This window comes from Homo sapiens, chromosome 8 (assembly GCF_000001405.40).
Source record: "Homo sapiens chromosome 8, GRCh38.p14 Primary Assembly".
Lineage (NCBI taxonomy): Eukaryota > Metazoa > Chordata > Mammalia > Primates > Hominidae > Homo > Homo sapiens.
The window spans coordinates 1,537,437-1,554,916 of NC_000008.11; the positions used below are offsets into that span (position 1 = coordinate 1,537,437).

General features: G+C 49.9%; 1 protein-coding gene across 1 annotated transcript in view, besides 2 other annotated features; it reads left to right on the forward strand.

The window, feature by feature from the left end:
- Positions 1–17,480, forward strand: part of DLGAP2 (DLG associated protein 2) — a 970,849-nt gene that overhangs the window by 799,809 nt on the left and 153,560 nt on the right. Inside the window, exon 5 of the mRNA NM_001346810.2 lies at positions 11,190–12,247. Coding sequence (NP_001333739.1) covers positions 11,190–12,247 — 1,058 coding nt within the window. The remainder of the gene's footprint in view (positions 1–11,189; positions 12,248–17,480) is intronic.
- Positions 1,875–2,376: an enhancer, noted in NCBI's record as "H3K4me1 hESC enhancer chr8:1487477-1487978 (GRCh37/hg19 assembly coordinates)". NCBI's record gives its function as "activates a minimal SCP1, AML or CMV promoter by ChIP-STARR-seq in naive H9 embryonic stem cells {active_cell/tissue: H9 hESC(naive)}" and the evidence as "EXISTENCE:reporter gene assay evidence [ECO:0000049][PMID:30033119]".
- Positions 2,377–2,876: an enhancer, noted in NCBI's record as "H3K4me1 hESC enhancer chr8:1487979-1488478 (GRCh37/hg19 assembly coordinates)". NCBI's record gives its function as "activates a minimal SCP1, AML or CMV promoter by ChIP-STARR-seq in naive H9 embryonic stem cells {active_cell/tissue: H9 hESC(naive)}" and the evidence as "EXISTENCE:reporter gene assay evidence [ECO:0000049][PMID:30033119]".

Consider the following 17,480-nt stretch of genomic DNA (forward strand, 5'->3'; position numbering starts at 1 on the left):
CCCTTCCCTGATTCTCCCATGCCTGCCACCACCACCCTGCCCCAGTCTCTCAGCTGCACCCCGTGTACCTCTCTCTGTCTGCAGGAAAAACCCCATTCCAAGGACTGGCTTACTCACCCTTTTCTGCTATTAGACTTTGAACACCAGATCTTGCTTCCGTAGGACAGGGACCATCCTGCTCATCTCTCTATCCCCAACATCTACTGTGGAGCCTGGAACTCGTGATGCCTGTGGCTTCATGGATGCAAGGATGGAAGGATAGATGGAAGGATGGATGGATGGATGAAAGGATGGAAGGAAGGAAGGAAGGAAGGAAGGAAGGAAGGAAGGAAGGAAGGAAGGAAGGAAGGACAAATGGATAAATGGATGGATGGAGTAAATGTCATAGGAAAAGTGCAGATAAAATTCTAATATTCAGAGAAAAGAGAGCTAAATTTAGGTGGGAGAGTTTAAGAAGATGCTCATAGGAGAAGAAAGCTCTTACAATGGGTCTTAAAGATGGATGGAGTGGCCATAAGTAAGGAGGTGAATCAGAGGAAGATACTGCGGGGGGAACAGAGAGCTGCTGTCCATGGTAAGGGCAGCTGTAGCCTCATGCAAAGTGCCTGCATTTGAGGATGAGAAGCTGGCCTGGGGCACCTGCAGGGCTCGGGGCTGCTGATGCTGCTGGGGCTGCCGAGGCACTCATGTCCCATGCAGCATGGCCTCAGTCCTCCCTGCATTCCCTGCCTTTTCTTCCTTTTCCTTCCTGTTTTCTCTCCCATTCATTCTCAATTCTCTCTTCTTTTTATCACTATCTGCATCCACCCAAATACACTTAACTAATTAAAATCTCTATAGTGTGTTCAAAAGTTATTTCTCACCTGCAGTACTCCCTTGAGCTCCAGGCTGTCCGTTCCCCCAATTTCATTATGCCCCCAAAAGGCTGGGCACATTTTAAAACATGTTCTCTCCACAAACACAGAATTCCCTGAGCACCTAAGCAGAATTGAATGGAGAGGAAATGAAGAACATATTAACTTCCTCTTAGATCCCCGGGCTGATTTCTTTCAGGCTCAGGGCTCAGACTGCATGATAAGATAACCATTTTGTGAAAAGATGAAAGCTGCTCCGTGCAGGGCGCATTCTGTGCAGGTACAGAACAGATAGGGAGGGGCTTATGTCTCCGTCCCTCCTCCCCCGCTCCCATGCTCACCGCTTGCTTTCTGTTGCGAGTGTCTAGAATGCCCTGGCCCTCTTTTCTAGGAATTGGATTGTACCATTGTCATTCCAACCTCTCTTATCAGAGGCAAAGCCCCAGGGTGCAGCCCTCCCCGCAGCGTGGCCACAGCCACTCAGAACTCCAGAGAGTCACGCCCCGGGTGGACATGTGTGTGAATCATCAGCACAGCACCCTCAGATCCCCACCCTGAGGCACAGCCCCTCGTGTCATGACAGCTGTCACTCATCTTTTTTTTTTTTTTTTTTTTGAGACAGAGTCTTGCTTTTGCCTAGGCTGGAATGCAATGGTGCGATCTCCACTCACTGCAACCTCCACCTCCCAGGCTTCAGTGGTTCTCATGGCTCGGCCTCCTGAGTAGCTGGGATTACAGGTGCACACCACCACGCCTGACTAATTTTTGTATTTTTAGTAGAGATGGGGTTTCACCGTGTTGGCCAGGCTGATCTTGAACTCTCAACCTCAAGTGATCCACCTGCCTCAGCCTCCTAAAGTGCTGGGATTCCAGGCATGAGCCACGGCACCTGGCCTGTCACTCATCTTTTTTCGTTTGTTTTCATAACTAACAGCATGTCCACCAACAGACTCTGAGAGAGCTCAGGCAGCACATATTCTCTGGGACTTAATCGCTGCTGTTGGCCGGATGCCTTCCACATTGAGATGCAATCCACAGACAAGTTGTCAAGTCCATCTGGGTGAGGACTCCGAAGAGGAAAACAGGTTACCACGTGGTTAGCCACACCATTACAACACTGGCGACTGTTCCTATGATGGACGGCTCTAATCTCGGTGCACTGGGAGATAACAAGCCCATCCCCACGAGTTGAGTGAGAATTTAACTTGTGCCTGGAGCCAGAAGCGCGACGCAGAGTGGACTGGGGTGCACTGAGCCTTGCCAGGGTCCCGCACCCTCACCGGGAGCTGTGATGGGGCCACCTTCTCCCTCTCCAGGCCCCACTTTCCTGTTTGAAGGATGCCCGCCCTCACCAGGAGCTGTGAAGGGGCCACCTTCTCCCTCTCCAGACTCCACTTTCCTGTTTGGAGGATGCCGACAGCGAGACCTGCCCACATTGCATCGCTTTGCATGTCTAGCTGTGCTTGATATAGAAGACCTTCTGTGTGGATGTGTGACACACCTCAGAGCCAGCAGGTGGGACACAGCTGTGCCATGAGCACCACGGCCCGTGTCCTTGTAGGGCCTCCCTTCCCTGCCTTCTTCCTGTGCCCCCCAAGCCCCTCAGTCCATCCTCAACAGCCAGGGAGACCCCCTCAAGCATCAGTGGCTTCCCATCTCTTCTCTGCTCCTATGGCCTCCAGACTCAGAAGCCCAGCAAAGTCCTGTTATTATTGCCAGCCCCACCCTTCAGGACCCAGACAGGGCCTCCTCTTGCCTGCTCTCCCTGTGGTCCTCCTCCCTGGCAGTGCCGCCACAGGCACCAACTCAGAGCTGTGGACGCACCGTGCCTGGAACCCTCCACCCAGGACCCTCAGAGATACGTCCTACTTCCTTAGGTCTCTGCCCTGGTCAAGCCCTCCCCACCACACTTGTCCCAGCGGGTAAAGGCCCGAAACATGGGGTGATGAGCCCCTTGCCCCGCGTTTTTTAGAGTGTTTGTCACTGTCTGACGTTTGCCTGTTTATCTGTTTATTGCCGGTACCACCACCCAACTGAAGGCTTTGGAGCAGGGGCTGTTTCACTCACTGTCTACCACGGTACCTTGTTTGCAGCAGGTGCTTTGTAAATTTTGTTTGAATGGCTGGGTTGAGTCATTAATGAAAGAGAGGGAAAGGAAGGCAGGAAAACACTTTTAAAACTCATACCACAGAAGATCTATCTAAAACCTCTCCAATTCTGTAATTCTATGACCTCATGAGAAAAGAAAAAAAAACACCCACCTAGTGACCATAATGTAGCAAACTTCCTGCCGGGCTGGGCGCTGGAGTCGGGTGTGGCTGCACAGCTCTGCTGCCTTGCAGACCACTCCAGGGAGCTGCCGGGAGCTGGACGCATGCTGGTGTCTTACCCCACGGAGGGGGCATCACTGCGGACAGAGCCCAGCGTGGGCGGCCGTGACCAGCAGTGCTTCCTCTCAGAAGCTGCCTGTACCTTCTGGAAATATGAAATATGGCAACCATACAACCATTTCTGGATAATACAGTTCCACCTTTGAAAATGGTTTGAAACCACACAAACATCCAGGTCTCATCTATTTGGGGCTAAGATTTTAGAAACAGTAGAATTTTTCTTACAAAACATTTAAATAAGAAAGTACAAAGCGGCTCCTGTGAGCACAGCAGCAGAATCGTTTCCACAGAATTCGGCCCAGGGATCCACAGTTTGGTAACCAGCACAGGATTTTCTACAGAGCCCAGGATTTTCTACGGAGCCCTTCCTCTCAAGAGCATCAGAGTACTTGAGAATATTAACCATGTGTTATTCGGAGCAATTCCAGCCTTGGAAATTTGCGGAGGATGTAAACTTTGCCAACTAACCTAGGGGAGAGCTTCACCCAAATTCTTACCTCCACTGAGCCCCTAATGCACACTTCCTCTTTGTGTTTAATCCATTTATTTGTTTAATACATTTATTTATTCATTCCATTATCAAACATTCATTGAGACCTCTGTTGGTAGTTTAAGACATTCTGCTAAGTATACAGCATGACTCAGATTAAAATGGCCGTTGGAGACACAATATCAAACATAAAAACTAATGTAAGACAAGGCAGAGCATAAACCTGGTAGCTGCTGATATTTACTGATATCAGTAAATATCCTGAGCTGCACCCCAGAGGTATGGTCTTACTGTGCCTGGGATGATGTCCAGAAATTTGTCCTTTACACACTTCCTGGGTGATGCTGAGGTATAGCCTCGGTTTAAAGCCCTTTGAACTATGGAAAAATAAAGGCAAACCTCAAACAGATAAGGAAATGCAAGATCTCAGTGAGCTGTCCCAGGACCAGATCTTGGATCCCACGACTGGGAACCAGCAGAGCCCACTGGGTTCTAGAACCTCTGCCAGCTCACCCAGACGAGATCTAAGGATTTCCCTTAAGCTTTCCTCAGCAGTTATCTGGATGGTGGATTAAGTAACCATCAGCCATTTGTGTGTAACTCAAACTCACATTATCGGGTCAGTTAACAGATTTACTAATTTATACCTTGCTTCTTTTCATGAGGAACTGAAGCGAGAACAGAAACGTGTACAATGGAATGATGGAATGTCTACTGACTCCACAATCATGGTCACGGAACGTTAAGTGAGAATGAAGGCAAAGAAAAGAGATGTATATGACTGTCACAGGACCTTTGATTATTGATTTAAGAGCCTCAGATGTTTCTCTGAGCCATATAGTGATCAGAGCAACACAGGAAACAGCTTCAGCCACATTCTTTGTTCTGTGGAGAAGGAGGAGATTTAGAAGCAAAAAATAAACATAACTGCTTTCCTAAATGTTATGAAACAGATCTTTTCCTGAGTTCTAAAGCAAGTGAAGAAAAATTTTAAGTGAAGTGTGTCTATATTCAATTTTGAGTTTCTGTGTATGTCTTCCTTCATCACATGCGTGTATTTATTTTATTCGAGCTTTATGGGGATATAAGTCACACACCATAAAAGTCACGCTTTAGGATGTACAATTCGGTAGCATTCAGTAGATTTACAGGTATGTGCAACCATCGCTCTAATCAATTTAAAACATCTTCACCCCAAAAAGCAACCCTGTGCCTTAGCAGCCGCCTGCCCTCTCACCTACCCTGATGCTGGGAATCAACAATCTGTTTTCCATTTTGAGATCTGCCTGTTCTGCACACTTCATATGAATGAAATTGTACATTGGTGGTCTTTTGTGACTGGCTTCTTTCCCATGGCATAAGGTTTTGAAGGCCCTTCCCTGGTGCAGCACGTTTCTGGGCTTAATTGGTTTTAATTGCTGAAAACATTTCCATTGTGCGGTACAGCCCCCATGTTTGTCCATTCATCCGTCGGGCAGCATTGAGGTCGTCTCCACTTTTTGGCAACTATGAATGATGTCGCTGTAAGCATTCTTACACAGGCTTTTGCCTGGATGTGTTTTCATTTCTCTTGGATGTGCACCTCGGAGTAGACTCACTGGGGCTTTTGGTGACTCTGTGTTCAGCCTTTTTAGGACCCTCCAGCCTGTTCTCCCTTCCCCAGCAGCGTGCGAGGTTCCAGTTTCTCTGCATCTTCATCAAGCTTTGGAACTGTGTCCTTTTCCCTCTGTCCACTCCAGGGGGCTTGAGTGGTACCGCACTGTGGTTTTGATTTCATTTCCCTACTGGTGAGTGATTCTGAACGCCTTTCTGTGTGCTCTTTCGCCGTTAGGACATCTTCTTTGGAGAAATATTCAGCTCCTATGCCCATTATTATTTGGATTATTTGTCTTATTATAATGGAGTTGTCAGATTTATATATTCTGGATTCAAGTTCCTTCACAAATACGTGATTTACAAAAATGTTTCCCATTCTGTGGATGGCCTTTGCATTTTTTTGATGGCATCTTTTAAAGCATAAAACTTTTTAATTTTAGGTAGTTTATTTTATCTATATTTTTTCCTGTGCTTTGGTGACATGTCTAAGAAACCATTGCCTGGTTCACAGTCACAAAGAAATGCATCTATGTTTTCTACAAATAGCTTTATAGTTTGAGCCCTTTTCTGTCTTTAAGCCACTTTGAGTTCATTTTTGCAGATTTTGTAAGATGGGGGTTAAATTCATTGTTTGGTGTGTAGAAATTGGGTTATCCTAGCATTATTTGTAGGAGAGACTATTCTTTCCCCTCTGGGTGACCTTGTCTCCCTTATCAAAAGTATCACATGTGCAGGTGCATGTCTGGACTCCAGTTCAGTTCCATGGGTCCATGTGTGCATCCTTGTGTGGGGCCCCACCCTTTTGATTACTATCACTTTGTGACTCTTGGGATCCATAAGTGTGAGTCTTCCAACCTGGTTCTTCTCTTTCAAGATTGTTTTTGCTTCTCAGGACCCATTGCATTTCTATATGAATTTGAGGATTGGCTTTTGCACTTCTGCAAAAAAGCCATGTGAGGTTTTGACAGGAATTTCAGGGAATCTCTAGGTCACTTGGGGTAGGACCTACCTCATCTTAACCATTAAGTCTGCCAATCTATGAACATAGGATGTCTTTTCATTTACGTAAGTCTTGCTTAATTTCTTTCAGTAGCGATGTTTTCTAGTTTTCAGTGTACGAATCTTTCACGTCCTTTTTTTCTTTTTTTTTTTAAGAGACAAAGTCTCACTCTGACACTTAGGCTGGAGTGCAGTGATGCAAGCTTGGCTCACTGCAGCCTTGAACTCCCAGACTCAAGCAATCCTCCCACATTAGCCTCCCAAGTAACTGGGACTACATGTGCCTACTACTATGCCTGGCTAATTTTTGTATTTTTTTTTAAAGACAGGGTTTGCCATGTTGTCCAGGCTGGTCTCAAACTCCTGGGCTGAAGTGATTCCCCCATCTCAGCATCCCAAAGTGCTGGGATTACAGGTGTGAGTGACTGCGTCTGGCCCTCTTTTACCTCCTTGGTTAGGCGGTCCCAGGGACTTTATTCTTTTAGATGTTATTTTAAGTGGAATTGCTTTTCTAATTTCCTTTTTGGGTTTCTCATTGCTAATGTATAGAAATACAATTGATTTTTTATTTTGCTCCTGTAACCTGCTCCTTTGCTGAGCAGCAGTGAAAGTGGGCATCCTTGTCTTGTTCTCTTCTCACAGGGAGAGCTTTCAGCCCTTCAGCATTGAGTATGATGTTAGCTGTGGGTTTCCCATAAATGCCCATTATCATGTTGGGGAAGTTCCCTCCAGTCCTAGTTCTCTGAGTGTTTTTATCATGAAATAGTGTTGTACTTTGTCACATGCCTTTTCTGTATCAATTGTGTTGAGTATGTGGCCTTTTCCCCTTTGTTCTATTAAAGTGATTTATTACATTGATTGATTTTCCTATGTTGAACCACCCTTGCATTGCTAGGATAAATTCTACATAGTCACTGTATATAATTCTCCTCATATGCTGCTATATTTGATTTGCTAGTATTTTTGAGGATTTTTTTTTTTTTTGAGACAGAGGTCTCACTTTTGTCGCCAGGCTGGAGTGCAGTGGTGTAATCTTGGCTCATTGCAACTTCTGCCTCCCGGGTTCAAGCGATTCTCCTGCATCAGCCTCCTGAGTAGCTGCGATTACAGGCATGCGCCACCATGCCCAGCTTATGTTTGTATTTTTAGTAGAGATGGGGTTTCACCATGTTGGCCAGGATGGTCTCGATCTCTTGACCTTGTGATTCACCCATCTCAGCCGCCCAAAGTGCTGAGATTACAGGCATGAGCCACCATACCTGGACTATTTTTGAGGCTTTTTGCATCTCTATTTATAAGGGATATTAATCTATAGTTTTCTTTTCTTGTCTTTATCTGGCTTTGCTAGCAGGGTAATTCTGGCCCTGATAGAATTACCATAGAATGGGCTTGGAAGCATTCCTGCCTATTCTAGTCCTGGGAGACTTTGAGAGGGATCGGTGTTAATTCTTTTTTAAATATTGATAGAATTCACCTGTGACACCATCTGGTCCTGAACTTTTCGTCCCACAAGCACGGCGTGCACCCTGTAAACATTTGCTGCATTCTTCATATTTTTATTGTTATACTTACAATATGCTATTTAGATTGGGTAGGCCGGCCGCCCCATAAGTGCAACAGTAAGACGTGCATTTACATTCTATTCTGAATTTGGGGAGATGGTTGTACGTTCATGAATAAATGACTATAATTGCTGTTTTCTCTCAATGACAAAAATGGTGTCATGAAGCAGTGGAAATTAGGAAACTAAGATGCTTTCCGCATTTTGTGTTTGCTACCTCATTTTCACAAAAAGAAATTACCAGCCCCTAAGTATTTATTACACATTGTGCACACCTAAAAAACCCGGAGACCTAGCTTAGTGCTCGTTACATGTTCTAGTGTTGCCATTGTTTACAGCACGCTGCCATTGTCATTATTGTGATAATATTTTAAAGTACATGTTTCCATGCATCCATCAGGAAATCCAGTCCTGTATAGTGGAAATGAGAATGTGGTATCAACATGTGGCATAATCAAATTTAATTCATTTCAGTTAAATTTTATCTTTTATGCCATTCTTTTATGAAGCCACATTCATAACATAGCTTCTAGGCTAAACATTAGGCAGAAGTAGGATACGTGAGTGGGGCAGTAATGGACTCTCTTTTTAATATGAAGGAAGATTAAAATTGTATTAAATTACACGTTAATGGAAAAACAAAGCAAAAGATAATAGGATGACAACTTTATGCAGCTGTAAAGTCTGGATTACAGCACATAGTTTTGCTATTTAGCAGTTGAATATTGAATTTCATTTGAAAATTTGCTTTTAATTATATTAAAATAATATCTAAATATTCCCCCAATATATTAAAGTGCTCTCATTATAATTTGACTGTTTGAGAAAGGAAGACGCCGCCGGCCATTACAGTGTAGGTGCTCCTGTGAGACAGCGTAGGCACCTGAAATATAACACAGTGAGGCTCACCTTGAAGTTAAAGGATCTCTTTATCCTTCAACTGGGGACTGTTTACTGTGAGAATATGCAGGAGCAATCCCTTTGCTGGCCTCAGTGGGAGAAACAGCCCCACACCTTGCTGTCAGTCTCTCGGGATCCCTCAGGAAATCTTTACGTTCCCTTCTGCATTCACACCTGGGTGTGAGAAGCCGGTCCCTGACTTCCCAGGGACTCATGAAATCGTATCCCTTCCTTATCCCATGTTTCCATGGCCATGCTGGCCCAGACGGCTGGCCGTCCTGGATCCTGAAATCTGCGACGTTTTGAGGCCATACCTAGGACTAGTCACTTGGTAAACATTATCAGCAGGGGATTTTGTTGTTGTTGTTTGTTTGTTTTTGCCTTGGTTACCTGGAGGGTTGGGGTTGGACACGATGGGAAAACTCTCACTCCCCATCACTCTGCTTGCTTTCCCTGGCATCCATGTTGCTCAGGGAGTCAGAGTGGGTGGCTCTCCAAGCGCAGGGCATGATGGACTCACCCCAAGACTGCAAGCAGGGGTGCATCTCAGGCTGCTTAGGGTGGTGGCGAGAGAGGAGCAAGTGGGAGAGACGCTTATGGTGACGGGAGAGCTGGCAGGCAGGAATTCGTTCCGGGATCCGAGGCATGGAGGTGGTCCAGGAGAGGCAGGTATTGGACAAACGTGTGGGGGGATAGTTCCCTTCCTGAGGAGACGGCCACGCTCAGCCGTCGAGGTGGCCACTTCTTGCTCCTGTCTGGGTCTTTGGCCTCGAGGACGGCACACAGCAAGGCCGAGTGGTGTGGAGCCGGGTCTTGGAGTGAATGCAGGGATGCATTCCAGGCCTGGGAGGAGAGGCGGCAGGACCCGGGCAGCGACATCTACAAATGACGGCAGCCGGGTGTGCTTAAGGCTCAGCAGACTCACAGGGACGTGCGGACCGTGGGGCAGAGGGAGGCTCGGCAGCTCCTCTGGTCATCACAGAGCTTGGACGTCTGGTCTGGGCCTGGCACTGCTGCGGGATGGCCCGTGGCTGTCACAAGGAAGGCAGCTGTGCCCGCAGGGAGCTTGCTGTCCTAGATGTGGCCCTGGGTGACAGGCTGAGAAGAACAGGGCTCCCCTAAAAGTTGGTGGATGGGCTGGGGTGCATTTGAGGGGGTCAGCCCCACAGCTGTGTCTGGGTGGAGGCAGGGGGAGAGGGAGAGAGAGGAGGAGGCCATCGTGATGGTCCTGGTGACAAGGAGGAGGGTCTGGGGCAGGAGGGGCCTGGGATGGAGGAGGCAGATGTGGGGTTGAGGGGGGCCTGCCAGAAGGAGGAAGGTGTGAGTGCAGAGACCAGGGGAGCAACAGGCCGTGGAGCTGGCAGATCCTCCTTCTCTGCAGGTCACCCCAGCGCCCAGCCGCCTTCCCAGGGAGAGAGGAGAGAGCAAGCGACCTGCCCCTTGGTGGCTCAGTGGCCATAAGACAGGTGGTGCTTTGTTGTAGCCACAGCCTCGCTCCTCCAGGCATTCAGGGAAAGCCCATCACAGGCCGCAGAAGGACACAGGGAGGAGTCAAGCGGGATTCCTCTGGGGAAGGAGGCACAGCTGCCCCCACACAGATGGGACCTCGAGAAAGCTCCTCCCATCCTCACTGGCCTGTAAGGGTGTGGACTGAACAAACGATTTCACGATTAATACCTGTGTATGTGATACATGAGCTTACTAGACAATATCACCCATCAAGTACCAGATGCTATTTTTAAAACTTCTTAAGCTGTACGACAAAACTGAAATCTATGTGAAATACAACTATGCTTTTCCCCCAAATTGTTAATTTCCTTTAATACCACAAAATCCGGCTGTCAAGAGACCTGTTCAATCTACTAGATGCTAAATCTTGGTCATTAACCATTTGGGAACATCAGTGTTTCCTCTCCACTCCTCACACTTTGCGATATAAAAACAACTGCCTGGCCGGGTGTCCTGGCTCATATCTGTAATCCCAGGACTTTGGGAGGCTGAGGCCAGTGGATCACCTGAGGTCAGGAGTTTGAAACTAGCCTGACCAACATGGCGAAACCTCGTCTCTACTAAAAATACAAAATTAGCCGGGCGTGGTGGCAGGCGCCTGTAGTCCCAGCTACTCGGGAGGCTGAGGCAGGAGAATCGCTTGAACCCGGGAGGCGGAGCTTGCAGTGAGCCGTGATCGCGCCATTGCACTCCAGCCTGGGCGACAGAGCGAGACTGTCTCAGAAAAAAAAAAAAAAAAAAAAAAAAAACCCACAAATCTGCCCTCTCGAGTGCCCAGGCCAGACATGGACACTGATTAATGAAGTCCACGGTGGGGGTCACATATTCCCCGCACCTGAGGGTTTCCGCCGCGCTTCCGGGTGTTCAATGCCGTTTCTGTTTCCCCACAGACCCGCAGTACTCATGGTCGCCCACGCAGCACTTCAATGAGGAGCGCTACTCGCCCGCGCCCAGGAGCATGAAGGGCCTTTCCGGAAGTCGGACCCAGCCGCCGCTGTGTTCCGGGCACACGTGTGGTCTGGCGCCCCCGGAGGACTGCGAGCACCTGCACCACGGGCCCGACGCGCGGCCGCCCTACCTGCTGAGCCCCGCCGACAGCTGCCCCGGGGGGCGCCACCGCTGCTCGCCGCGCAGCTCGGTGCACTCGGAGTGCGTGATGATGCCGGTGGTGCTGGGCGACCACGTGTCCAGCAGCACCTTCCCGCGGATGCACTACAGCTCGCACTACGACACGCGCGACGACTGCGCTGTGGCCCACGCGGGCGCCAAGATCAACCGCATCCCGGCCAACCTGCTGGACCAGTTCGAGAAGCAGCTGCCGCTGCACCGGGACGGCTTCCACACGCTGCAGTACCAGAGGACGTCCGCGGCCGCCGAGCAGCGCAGCGAGAGCCCCGGGCGGATCCGCCACCTGGTACACTCCGTGCAGAAGCTCTTCACCAAGTCGCACTCGCTGGAGGGCTCCTCCAAAAGCAACGCCAACGGCACCAAGGCGGACGGCCGGGCGGACGACCACCACCACGCCCACCACGCCAAGCACAGCAAGAGGAGCAAGAGCAAGGAGCGCAAGCCGGAGGGCAAGCCCCGGCCCGGCATGAGCAGCTGGTGGAGCTCGGACGACAACCTGGACAGCGACAGCACCTATCGGACGCCCAGCGTGCTCAACCGGCACCACCTGGGCCCCGTGGCCCACTGCTACCCCGACGCGCTGCAGAGCCCCTTCGGGGACCTGTCCCTCAAGACCTCCAAGAGCAACAACGACGTCAAGTGCTCGGCCTGTGAGGGGTTGGCGCTGACGCCCGACGCCAAGTACCTGAAGCGCAGCTCCTGGTCTACGCTGACGGTCAGCCAGGCCAAGGAGGCCTACCGCAAGAGCTCGCTGAACCTGGACAAGCCGCTGCTGCACCAGGACGCCAAGCCCGCCCTGAGGCCGTGCCACTACCTCCAGGTAAGCAGGCTCACGGCCCTGTGGAGGCCGTCTCGGCACAGCAGGTGGTATTGTCGTTATTCCTTTTTTAATTGACAGATAACAACTGCATACACATTTAGGTTGTGCAACAGGATGTTCTGAGCTACGGATATGTTCTGGGACAGCTCCACTGAGCTGTTAACACACGCATTACCTTACATACGTAATTTTTTTGGTGGGAGCACTTAAAATCCACTCTGGATGATTTCCACCTATTCAATACGTGGTTGTTAACTGCAGTTACCGTGCTGGCCAACAGGTCTCTTGAGCTGACCCCTCCTCACTGAAATGTTGTCCTTTGACCAACATCTCCCAATTCTTCCCCATCCCCAGTCCCTCTGGTAACCACGGTTCCACTCTCTGCTCCTATGAGTTCAGCTGTTTCAGATGCCACCCGTGAGAGGGACCATGTGGCCTCTATCTGTGTGCGCCGGGCTCATCCTGCTTTGCAGTTTCTTCCAGCTCACCTGTGTTGTGGAGAATGGCAGATCTCCTTCTTTCAAAGACTGAGTAGTGTCCCCTGTGTATGTACCGCATCTTCTTTATCCATCATTTGCCGGGAGACTCGAGGATTGACGGCACGCTATGGCTTTGTGCGCGGGGCTGCAGGGATGGCGGGACGTTATCTACGGGCAGCTCTCATGCGTGAGTCTGGCCTGCTCTGGGAGGGCCTCTGAAGATCCCGACTCCTCCTTGGAACCATCCCTCTAAACACAGTGGGCCATTTCTTTAAGGCCTCTAAGGCTGGAGGGTTTAACAACCACAGCAAACACAGACTTGCCCATGTGGGTGTTTTCCATGTGAGAGCTGATGGACCGGCCTAATGGAAGTGGGCCTGCGACATTCGTGAGTTCACTCCCTGCACCTGGCCACAGCCTCTCTAAGCACCCCCCACTACAAAAAGCCTGATTATGGAAAAGGCCTCTGTGTCTCTGGGGTGTGGATTAAATGAATTTACCAAAGGCAAAAACAAAGAAGGTAGATCCCTAGAGCTGGCATATTGCAGAATTCCCTGTTTTATGTGATTTCACTCTCTGTCTCTGAATTGTGCCATGCCTGAGTTTACTGGAGAAGCTCTCTGGGAGGCACACGCTACTTCTGAGGATGCCACTCAGTGACTTCCATCAGTCGATAGCGCTGTTAAAAAAAACATAACATGTGTGTCCCAACTCACAAATCACTCTTGCTTGCCTAGAGCAGCGGCTGTGGGCCTCGCATCAGCTTAGAGACATCTTCATGGAGTAATGGGCCATTGCTGGCTGAGCCAACAGGCAGTCAACTAATGGGACAGGGGGACTAGCAGCCGTGATTCTTTCTGGGAGTCGTGGTGGCAAATCCTTCCAGTGGCACCGTCACCATCAGGTCCAGCGTCCACATCTCAACAGCTCTGTTTTGAAAGGAAATGCTAACCAAATTGCCTTTGCAGGCAGATTTATTCAGAGACAAATTGGTAGTTGCATAAAATATTATTTTATAGCAATGGAAGAGGCATAAATTTTGTTTGCCGTCGGCAAACCCTAATCATATCCAAATGTAAAAGTTGTGTCTGCTTGTTTAGAGAAGCCTGGTAGAAAGAATCGGGGTTCACTCTGATCTGTCTCCTCATTGTCACAGACACATAGCTCTCTTGTTTTTGTCTGTGCCTGGTGTGGATAGTCAGTGTTCCCTGAATGAGCACTTCAGGACACTGTCAGAGCCTCCAGGTTTTGCCCCAGGGTCACCTGCCTCCAATGCCTGCCACTCTCCCCAAGCCCCTCCAGCTGCGCCTTCTCCACAGGTCCTGTGCCCCTTGGACCTGCCTTCTCCAAGGAGCTTCTTCCACCCACTTCCTCCCAGGAACACGCTTCTCTCTGCCTCCAACAGCTATTCCACGGTCTAGGTGCAGGGAATACCAGTCGTCCACAAAGGTGAAGTGAGACAGAATGAACCCACACACCGTCAGCCCCTTTCAAAAACCATCCCTCCGAAAGTGACCTCATTCCATCTGCACTCACGCCTTCCCACCCAGGCTACACTGCAACAAATCCCACACGACAGACAGATACAACTGTAAATATGCCTGTGTTGATCTCCCAGAGATCCACACGGAATGATGAGTACGCTTTCTTTTGAAACATAACCACCTGCATTATATCATCCTGGTCAGTGGTCACATTCCCCTGAGGGCTCACTGTCTCTTGTTGGCTTTTATTTGAATCAGGATCCAGAGAAGGGGCCCGCCTGGCAGCTGCTGATGAGCCTCTTCATCTCGTTCAGCCCGAGGTTTCTCCTCTCTTTCCTCTCTTCCTCCCCCTAGATTTTTTTTGTTTGGAACCAGCTGGTTGGTCTGATTGTGTCTGTCAGTCTGAGTTCCGTGCCATGGGGTCATTCCAGACACTCTGGTCCTGTTGTTCTGCAGCCAGCCACCCACTCCTGGACTTCCCTGCCCTGACGCCACTGGCCTCCCTCTCACGTCCACTCAGATGACACATCCTCGGAAACAACACAGAGCGTTATCGTGCCGACATTGGGAAGCACTGCCCGGAGGATCGGAGGATAGAAGGACGTCTGCAGGGAGCAGCCACGGCTTTCATGGCGCTCGTTCACAAGGGCGTTTTCTTGCAGTAGCAAGCTTCCCCCATCCCCACATCCGCCTCCCAGTGAAACCACCTCTTCGGGGCATGCAGCTCGGTGACTTCTCTCCCCTCCTCACTGTCCCCCAGTGGTTGCTGCTGGACCCCTCATGGAAGGATCTATGAAGCTGAATATCAGGAGCTGTGTGCAACCTCCTCGGGCTGTTTCTGTCCTAGGACTCAGCTGGATTGACGTCTGGCATTTTCAAAGATGCCTGTGCAGGGCTGTCCCTTCCTGTCAATTGCATTAAACTTTCTGGTGGAAAACTACAGGTTTCTGGGTCCTCACAACCCCAGATTTTATTTCGCAGCCAGGAAACAGGGAAACTAAAGGAATTTGTCTGTGGGTCCTAGTGTACGGATAAGATTTAAAAGAATAAGAAGAGAGAAATAAATGTTTATAAATTTTCTTCCTTTTTTCACTAGGAGCACTTGCAGCTGAACGACAGGATCACTTTTCATTTTCACCCTTGGTTTGTACAGAGTATGTGGTTCACATTAGAGGAAGATTTTTTTCTTGTTTTTAAGTAGGTCAAAACGGAGAATAAGTGGAATTGAAAGGCAATTCAGGCCTCACGTTATTCTTTCACAAAGCTCTTGTTTTCATCTTTTCTGCATCAGCAGACTAAGCATCTAAGGTCAAACTTTTCATGAGCATTGTAGGAATGCAGAACGGATTCGCCGTGGCTTAGCTCAGGATGCCAAAGGCTCTCTATGCCACAGTCCACCGAAACTCCCAGGGACGTGCAGGGAGGGAGAGACGCCGCCTCCCCGGGAAGGCTCCTGGCGGCATCAGATGGAGGGACAGCGGGGCCCCTGCTGCATCCCAGAGAAGACCCGGCAGCCCCTCCAGCCCTCGGCCTCTGTCCCCGCCTCCTTCCCTCCTGTCCTCAGGCCTCCTCTCTGCAGCCTCCCAGTCTCCCACCGCGTCCTGCGCTCCTGGTTTTCTCCTCTTCTAGTGTCTTCCCCACCTGGCGTCGCCCGGCCGCAACCCTGGCCCTCCTGGGGAAGAGGTTCGGACCCTACTCTTTATTTGACATGAAGAGGTTCGGACTCCCAGTTTTATTCGGCATGTTCACGGGCAGCAGCCCCATTTTGTTTGGCGTGTTCACGGGCAGCAGCCCTGTTTTATTCGGCGTGTTCACGGTCAGCAGCCCCGTTGTGCTTGGCGTGTTCACGGGCAGCCCCGTTAGACTTTGGGTTTTACCTGTCAGGCTTTTTACATGTTCACGTGTTGGAAGCAAATGGCAGAAAAGAACACAGAGGGGAGGGGGTGCGATGAAAACGGGGAGCCCTGAGCATTCCCTCCCTGCGTGTAAAGTGTTTCAGAACCTCTCCCTGCTCCCGCCCTCTGCAGCCGGTCCCATCACTGAGTACTGACCTTTCCTTGCAGCCATTCGCTGAAGGACGTGTTGCGGGTCCCATCACCGAGTTCTGAGCTTTCCTTGCAGCCATTCTCTGAACGACGTGTCTGTTTTGTAGGCCGTGCAGATCCCTGGCTTTCAGGCTCAGCTACTGCATTTGTGAGGTTTCCAGTTAGGTACAAAAACACATCTTAAAAGTCCCATCTCCCAGGTCAACAGGTCATCCTTGCGGTGTAGTTTAGAAAAATCATCCATCTTTTACAAAATGGAGCCAGGCTCCCCTGTTTCTTGTCTCTACAATAAGCATTTAAAAGGCTTGTCACAGGGCCAGGCACGGTGGCTCACACCTGTCATCCTAGCACTTTGGGAGGCCAACGCAGGTGGATCACCTGAGGTCAGGAGTTCAAGACCAACCTGGCCAAAATGGCAAAACCCTGTTTCTACTAAAAATACAAAAACTAGCCAGGCCTGGTGACAAGTGCCTGTAGCCCCAGCTACTCAGGAGGCCAAGGGCTGAGAATTGGTTGAACGTGGGAGGTGGAGGTTGCAGTGAGCCAAGATCACGCCACTGCACTCCAGCCTGGGTGACAGAGCAAGACTCCATCTCTAAATAAATAAATTAATTAAATAAATAAATAAATAAATAAAATGGTTTGTCATGGAATGCACGATGCTGGCCATTTGCTTCTTTCTGCCCGATCTGGGGTGGAACCTGAGTCTCATCAGAGTTGGGTGTGGTGGCCTGGGACAGCCTGGGCCACCTCTGGCCCTCCTGCCACAGGCCCACCTCCACATGCTGGGTGACCCCTCCCTGCTGGTTTCCTTCACGCCCTCAGCTCAGCTTGGCCTCCACCTTGACCTTTATTGAGGGTCCCTCTGCTGCCCATCTGCCTCCTGAGCCCGGGTCCTGTCTTTGTCCCGCTTTGCCCCTGTATCTAGGAGGGTCCAACACACTCAGTAACAATTAGCGAGGGGCACCTGTATCCTGCAGCGTTCCAGAGGATGCTGGCTTGAGCATAAGGGTCTCTCCGGGCACCTAGGTGTCCCATGTTCCAGAACTTGGCAAGCAGGAAGGACCCACGCGCCCCAGCCCCCCCTCCCCCGCGCCCACCACCCTCACGGTATCCCCACCAGTTCAGGAAGGCTGGCGTTGTGGCTTATGGGGTGCTTTCAACTCCAGAAAACCAATAGTTCTAACAAGCTTCTCAGAAAACTTCTCTGTATTTGTAGTTTTAG